Source organism: Homo sapiens, chromosome 9, assembly GCF_000001405.40.
Source record: "Homo sapiens chromosome 9, GRCh38.p14 Primary Assembly".
Lineage (NCBI taxonomy): Eukaryota > Metazoa > Chordata > Mammalia > Primates > Hominidae > Homo > Homo sapiens.
In genome coordinates, this window is record NC_000009.12 from 100,890,846 (window position 1) to 100,899,661 (window position 8,816).

The following is an 8,816-nucleotide window of genomic DNA, read 5'->3' on the forward strand; positions in this document are numbered from 1 at the left end:
AGGGTGCAAAGGGCCCTGAAAAGCACTCTTGAATATAGGTTTCTGATAGCTTTAGAATCACATCATTTGGACTAGATAAGAATTCCTAGAACTTCAATAAAAAGACTGGTTTGTAAAACTGCTAACTCAAACAGAACAAAAATTAATTGAATACCAAGAAAATACTTTGCCAGATTTTCATGCTAAATCAGCCAATACTGAAATTGTTTAGGTACACAATTTGAATGAACTCCATGGTCTAAGTGAAATTACCTATGGTAACCCATCAGTTGTCAGTGCTATGCACCTAAAGTGGAGAAACAACTTCAAGAGGACATAAGTCCAATGTTAAGCATGGAGAACCAGGATGGCCACTGTGTCCTTCCTGAGTCCTTAAGGCTTTTGGCTTTTTTTTTTAAATTACAAGTTCTGCATCATGACTCATCATGAAAAAGATAAAATGATCCAAATTAAATATTATATTGGTATGGTGACTTCTAAATTGCTAAAATAGTTTATGACCGACATGTGGTTTTGTCAAACCCATATTCCTGAAAAGACAATCAAAACTTCAGGTACATTTCACTACCCGATGGACCTTTTAAATATTTATAGACAGATTTCATCCAATTGTCATTTTCAATGCATGTTTTCTGGTTGTATGAAAGCTTTCCCATGCAAGAGGGCTGATGTTATAACAGTAGTTCATTATGCCACAGTGTATTTTCACCAGCTAAAGAAAGCTTTTCATGGTTCACTGACTGACTGAGGACAATCAATCCCTTTACAATCCAGAACCCAAAGATTAGATCTGAGAACATCAGAGAAAGAATGCTCTTGTCATCCACACTGCAGCAAAACTTCAGGACCTTGAATCTTGGGTTCATAATCTCTCAACTCAGAAGGATCCCTCCACACTCTTGGAATGTATACCCATTGGAAACCTTAAGGTAAAGCTAACCAGGGAAATTTCTTCCCAGAAGAAGATAGCATCCTTAATGGAAATAGCTTTTCCCCCCCAAATCACAGGTCAAGCTTTCTCTGCTATCATGAGACTCTTTCACTTTTTTCCCCTTACTTATGCCTCTATAAACAATAGAAGTGTACAGGGAGTCTGTTGTGTGTACTCATGGGGTATAATTTTACTTGTGAAGGATTTTGTAGCCAAACTTATACATTTGATAAACTTATGCCTTGATAGATGAAAGACGAAGGCTCAATGTAGGTGAGAAATTTTAATGGTACCTACATTGCCTCATAATCAGTCAGAAATAGAACATTGGTTCATTCCTCTTAACCCACATCATAGGTTAAAGAGAACATTGACAGGAGGTCTTTACTCTTCTGGAAGGGCATCAACTGTTAGGTTCTTTTGCCATGGTTTGGAGTAAATGAGGCAATGATTAGAAATTTATCCCTCATGATAGGCTCTATAGCAGATTCTACTATAAAGGCTATGGTTACACAACAGACTTTAAATTCTCTTGTGAAAGTTATGCTAAATAATAGAATTGCTCTAGATTACTTACTGACTAAACAGAGAAGTATCTGTGCAGCTGCTGGCACTTGTTGCCCATGGAGGAATACATCACATCAGACATTACAGAGATTCAGTTGTAGGAGATTAATGAAGAGACTGCTTAGTTAAAGTGAGTAGACTATCTAGCTCATTTTTTAATGTATTTGATTTTAGGTGGTTTGGTTTATGGAGCCCTGGCTAAGGAGCATACTCCAAACTTTTGGTATTATCCTCCTGATAGTCATAATAGTAGTCTCCCTGGTGCACTGTATTCTCTCAAAAGTTTTAAATGTTTGCATGCAGCCGTCTGTAGAATGTCAAGTGGTCTCTCTTCAACTGGAATGACAAGACCTGAAAGAAATGTGTGACCATGAGGGCACCATAATCTGTAAATGACGTGCTAAGACCAGAAACCCAAAATGATGGTAACTGAGAGAGGTGCTAAGGCCCTAAATTTTGGTCATACTCTCACCTAAGTGAGAACCTGACCAAAAGGGGGGAATTATTAAACAAAATTATGAGAGGCCATTGTTTTGGACTAAGCTCATGCAGTAGGCCCTAACAGACCAGACCAAACCAAAATGGAGTCACTTGTGCTAAATATGACTAATCAAACTAAGAGTTTAAAGAAACACATAGATTCTAGAACAGACCGGGTTTTGTTTTTTCCTCCTGTAAACAGGACATTCTAGCATATAAGGAGGTACCTCTACTCTAACCCTCACAAAAAAGGTAACCTAAATTCCTTGTTCCCACCTTACAAAACCCATGTCTGCTATTTCCCAGTGAGTTTAAACACCAAAGAAGTATATTTATGATGGTGATTGTGACATCAATGACTAAAGTTTTGGCCAATCTCTCAAAATTGAGAAGATGACCAAAAGGGGGGAATTGTTAGACCAAGTTTAGCCTAAATCTGCCTCCTTACATATTTTAAATTTGGCCTAAAGGTTTCTCTGTACTTTGCAAACTATAGCCTAAATGGAGTTATATACAAACTGTAGTCTACTCTTGTGTCAATCACTGAGTTTTGGCTGATCAAAGGTGGCCAACTGTTCAAACCGTGTTCAAATAAGGAAAAGCCGAGCTATAACCAATCCAGCTGTTTCTGTACATCATTTCTGTTTTCTGTATGTCACTTTCCTTTTCCATCCATAAATCTTCTTCCACCACATGGCTGCACTGGAGTCCCTGAGCTTGGGAGACTGACTGAATTGTACTTTGCTCAATTAAACTCTTTTAAATTTAATTTGGCTAATGTTTTTCTTTTAGCACTACATTCAGGAAATGTAGAATAATTTTAAAAAGTAAAATAGTCTTGATATATGTATTTCCCTAAATTCCAGTCTCATAATTATATGGATCTGGGATGGTTTATTTTTGAGATAAGAGTATTTTTGATATTCTTGCTCCCTCTTCTTTGAACAACCCATGATTTTTTCCATACATCTGATTTAGCACTTGGGTTCTACCAGAGAATTAAACCCTACAGAAAATGATTTTAGTGACTACTTTCTCAACTTTCCCAAGGACAGTACAAGCTAGTACCATTTTAGATATATAAGGGAAGTTAATTTATTCTGTACAATGAGTACCTTAGGCTGGAATTATAGTTAATTCTCTTATGGAGCCTCACATGAAAACAGCTGCTAAGCACTATGCTACGTGTCATTCTTGAGGGGTCTCTTCAGCTGACTCCAGTCATAAAGGAAGCAGGAAGCCCAGCTTTTTAGAGAGATTACACAGAAGATGAGAGAAGGTCTTCTACTGTAATTCATTGCGGTATTCCCATGTCTTCCACATCCCGTTCCTAAATGGTAAGGTGATTAAAAACATGCAACAGTTTGGTAAAGAAAACATGATTTATGAGATAGGCCATAGTTTTAGAAATGTCATTTGTTTTCATGGTTCAAGGAGAGTTTTCTTGATTAACAAAAAATATTTGAGTCTAATTTAAAAATGTGAGTTTTAATTCCTACTCTCACCTTTTTCTCTGTCTTCACTCCATGTAGGATGAAAACCTGACACCAAACAGAGGCTAGTGAGTCACTTTGGTTCTATTTATACCTAAATGATTATTAAATTGATTTTAAATCTCTCAAGTTCATGTACTCTTGGATAACAGCTGTGGTGTAAGAGTAGAGAATTAACTTTGAGTTAAATTATAAATATCAAACAGTATGTCCACTTCCAGTAGGATGCAACAGAACAAATCACTGGTAAATGTGAATTCTTCAAATTATTTCAGTATGCCCTAAGCCATTTACTAAACTTTATTATACCTGTTACCCCAAAGAGCCATTTTTTTCCTAAAATATAGATCAGATTCTCTTTCACTCCCATATTTAAAAACACTTAAAAACTCTCTGTTGCATGATGAATAAAATAAGAGGCTCTTATTGAGGAATTCAAGGCCTTTCAAAATCTAGTTTCAATTAGCTTCTCTTGCCTTCTCCATCCCACAAAGCTCTTGGTTTGGATATGATGCATACCCTTTGTCCTAATATGTCATGCCTTTGCTCATGCTTCTCTTTCAACTGGAGTGCCCTTTTCTGCTTCTCCATAAGCTAAACTTTTATTAATCCCTCAAATGTCAACTCAATATCATCTTAGCTTTTCTTTAAGAAGAGAATAATAGAGTGGTTCTCAAATATGGTTGAACATGGGATCACTAGGTAACTTAAAAAAGAGAAATACCAATTCTGAGTCCTACACCCAGAGATTCTGATTTATTTGGTCTGAAGTAGGGCCTGGGTATCAATACATTTTTTAAGGTTCCCAGGCAAATCAAACATGCAGTCAAGTAGAACCCTTAGAAGTATGGTTAAGAGCCCAGAATAGTCAGACTGTAGGTAAATCTTGATTTTACTACTGTGTATTTTGTTGCTTAACTTCTCTACATCTCATTTTTCTCATCTATAAAATTGAGAAAATAATCTACTTAATTCTTAGGGTTGCTGTAAACATTAGCTTAGATAATACAGGTCAAGAACTTAGCCTAAAACCTGACATAATAAATGTTAGCCATTATCAATAGAAAAAATAGTTGTTACTCCTGGGTTCTGGCCTTTATAATTCCCTTTTAAACTCAAAAATTAACTCAGTTATAATCTTTACCACAATGTGTTTGTGTTTCTCCATCCCTAGCTTGTATCATACTTGAGAGCAGCAGCCTGGCCCTACTAGTTCCTGCCCTCGGCTTCCTATTCGATCAGAATTATTTCCTTTTGACCTTTTCTCTTTAATAAAACATATTTGAAGACATCATTCTCTCTTTGGAGGAAAACTGCAATAAGATCTTAACTAATCTCCCTACCTGGGCTCTTCCCTGTTAACTGTATCATACATGAGTTTTTCACCTTCTCTGTGCTATTAAAGGCATTGTGAAAACTGTTCTTATGGAACTCACAGTTCTTTATTTCCAAGTTTGACTTGATTTTCAACTATGAGCTCTTTGAGGGGCAAAGTCTGTATCTTATGTCACTTGCACAACTGGCTTTTAGCAGTTTCTAGGAACATAGTGCGCTCAACTTGCAGGAAGGGAAAAAAAGGAAAGAAGGATGAAAGAAAGAAATTTGGAGAGGATTAGATAGTATTTCTGAGCCTAATTAAAAATATAATTGAAAGAAGTCTCTAAAAAATTATATTTTAAGAAATGACATAGAACAGAGGGAAGATGTGAATATGAAGAAAATCTAAGGCAACATAAATTCATAAATCATTGCGAAGCGGTCACAGACTGTACTGGAAGTGTTTTAAAGATTCAACATTGATACTTTAATCATTTCTCAAGCTCTTCAATAGAGTTTTCTAATTATCTGCCTATGCCTTCTTCTTCCCTACCCCTTCCACGTTGCTATCAATCTAAGCTACTTTTATGACATGTCTTAAGATTGGAACACCATAATTAGGTGAATTTCTTACATGCAGACTATTGGATCATAATGTCCCTTGCAAAAGAGAAAGCTGTAAAAGTAAATAAAGATGTTAAATTCCCTTTGTCAGAGTGCTGATGAAGAATGCTTCAAGAAATAGAATAATAATGCTGAAGATCATTAAAATAAATCTAAATTTAACCTGTATATTCTTTATGATTATGATTAAATGGAAAATTAAAATCAGCTTAGTAGCTGTGCTGTTGAAATATTTTGTGGTATGTTATCAGCATACTTCAAATTTTAGTACCAAACTCATTAGAAGATATTTCAAATATCTACATTTTGCCTAACCAGAAGACCATTAAAATGCACATTGTCTTTTTCCTGTGGGAATTATATGCCACATCTTATTTACTAGCCTTGGAGCATGTTTCAAAGTACTTAGTATTGCTATTTATGATCCAAAGTAGACAAAATGAACTACAGTGTCTATTAAGTTGTAAAATGTAGTCAATGTTATGTTTTTGTTTTTTCTTCTTTTGTTTTCTTTAAAAATAGCGTTTATCTTGTTTCTATTTACAGAGTGATTCAGGCTCATTATTTAACATTTTGAAGCAAATAAGAGTAAAACAAAGTAAAAAAACTCATAATATCATGGCATTTTATTATTTTATGTTTTGTTTAAGCTTTTATTTCCTATGTGGAAATACATTAATTTAAAGAAACATCCTCCAGATATTGTTACATCCCTGCAATTTCAAATATTCAAAATATTTTTGCAGCTTAATTTTTATGTTCATTGGTAGTTTCAATGGGATCAGGGAAAAGGGGTAAGACATTTATTATTCTAGCACATCTTATCATGAATTTTCTGCAACAGTTTTTGAATGAGTTAAGAATGAATTGAGAATGAGAAGGAACCAGAATCTAGTTGCTAAGTGAAAGCTAGGAATCTATGCCAGGGGGTTAAGTTTGCTAATCTCATCTCAGAAACAGCAGCATCAGAGCAGGAAGGAGAGAGAGACACAAAAGTGAAGCCCATAGGAAAAAAGAGGCAAACCTAGAGAAATAGATCCCAGAAAGATGACTGAGTCTGAGGCGGGGTTTACACCTTTTATCTTGTTGTATTTGACATTAACTGTAAAAGAGAACACAGGAGACAAAGGGTCACTCTTCTTTTTCACTGTAAAGATTAAGGTGCATGCATACAAACACAGCTTATCTATACAGTGTCTTTATTTCAGAAGGCAAATTTTCATTTTTCTGACTCTGAAGGAAATCAGAGGATTTGGGCACTCAAGAGTGATACATACTTCAAATCAGCATCATGTACAGGATCATGTACAGGTGTGTGCACCACTGGGGGTGCTGATATCAATACCCTTGTAACTCTTAGGCAAACAATGGCCTATTTTATGCTTTGTATAAATCTCTCGTCTAGCAGACTAGAAACCCCATAAGAAAGTCCCATTTTACATCCAAGGAAGAGGCAGTTCATATAATTTAAATCATTTGTTCAAACCTACATAATGAAGGAGCTCAGACTTAAATTCAGATCTATTGACTGAAGGATGGTGTATGATATTAAAAAATCTTTGAAATCATCAAGGTGAATTCCAGAATATTAAAATCATGGGAACTCTGTAAGCTTTAAGGGTATGAACTAAATACCCTTAATGGGAAGAACAACTTCACATCAGATATGTGGAACTCATTTCCTCAAGATTTTGTGCCATGTGAGAAGATAAATCTGATCAAGAAAGATTCTCAGAAATTTGCCATAGGGAAATTATGGGTGTGAGTGTTTTAATAGATTTTCAAATTCTGTGGCTTTGTACTCTCACCATAAACAAACAAAAAACAACAAAAACCAGGCTTTGTCTTTTCATAACACAAAGTGAGGCAGCAAGGTAGTCCAGAAAAAATGTGCACTTTGGAGACAAATGTATTAAGGTCCAACATTTCAGCAGCACCACTAATTAGGTATAGGAATTGGGCTCACTATTTAATCTTTCTGAATCTATTTGAATTTTGACATCTGTACAAGGGGGCAATAATTCCTTTCTCATAAACTTGCTATGCTGATTAAATGAGATTATGGATTATGAAAAGCTGTCTAGAAATGTTGGCTGTTGCTAGACAACAACGATTTTTTTTAACTATACAGTGAAAAAAACCATTCTTCTAAAAAATGCCAGATGTTTTTCTTGGTTGTGTTTCAAAGAGCACTAAATATGTTTGCATCCTCCAGGGTGGTTGCTTTGTAAGCCAGGTGCGAAAAGGAGGCTCTTTCCCAGAGAGTTTCAACAGTGATATCAGCCAACTCACATAATTCAAGACCATCTCAAGATGCCATGTGGACCTGGTATCCATCTGTTGTTTGAGTAAATAATAATTTAATTTCTATTTTCAGTTAAACAAAATAGACAAGAGCATCTACCATTGCTTGTTCATTGACAGTTTGTCTGCTCCCTGAATAATTATTGCATCTCAGTTGATTGTTTCTATATCTAAATTTGGAGTGTCTCAAAATGAATTTCTTTAACCTTGGGTAAATATTGAAGCAATCAGTAGAAAATGCGGATCCACTTTTACCTGTATAATCAATTAACCTTGAACAATGTCTGACTGACTTCCCCTTTCCTAAAAATATTCTTCACCCACAGAACAAAATCCAAACCCTTCAAACGTGTACACAAAGGTCTTTACAAGTTAATCTCTGCTTTTTCTGCCTATCTTCCTTCCATGCTTTCTAGTCACAAAAACCTCGAGTGGCTTCCCAGAGTCCTCCACTGCTTGCATCTTTGTCTTTCTTTGTCGTCACACCACCTGCCTCAGGTCATTCCTTCATTTTCAGACTTGGATGAACATCACTCCCTAGTGTATGATCTGCATTCTTGAGCAGCTGTCAAGGGGCCAGCTGACCCACCACTGGGAGAACCTTGATCGATGAAAAAGTTGACAGACATTTTCTTTCTTCCTCTTCCTTGTAGACTGCTTCCACATGTGGTGCTTCCAGAGTTGTACTTAGCAAACGTGCTTGCTGAGTGGCATGCTCTGTCTCTCTGTTTGTGAGGCTATAGCTGTTGTAATGCATTGTATCACCCTGTATCACATCTTCCACCCCTCCCCCCAACACCCCACTCTATTTTCTGTTACTTTTGTGGTCCTGGGAATATACCTTGCAAATTAAGTGTTAGTGCCTTAAGACTTACTTCAGGTTCTGCTTTCTAGGGGACCTAGGCTAAAACACCATCATTCCTCAACTCACCAATCTTTTGCATTGTTTTTAGATATTCTACTTGGAATGTGCCTCCACTCTCCATTATTAATAAAGATCCAGTTGAATTGCTGATATCTCTGTGCTCTCATGGTACCTGGCACCTCTACTGTTACTAAAGCACACGACATGCTATTTTGTATATATGTAGTGGTGGGCA

General features: G+C 36.1%; 1 long non-coding RNA gene across 1 annotated transcript; it reads left to right on the plus strand.

Moving 5' to 3' along the window:
* Positions 1 to 758: 758 nt before the first annotated feature.
* On the plus strand, positions 759 to 7,754 carry LOC105376180 (uncharacterized). Its single transcript, XR_930180.2, has 3 exons — positions 759 to 929; positions 3,511 to 3,539; positions 7,628 to 7,754. It is a non-coding gene; the product is annotated as an uncharacterized LOC105376180 (long non-coding RNA).
* The last annotated feature ends 1,062 nt before the right edge of the window (positions 7,755 to 8,816 follow it).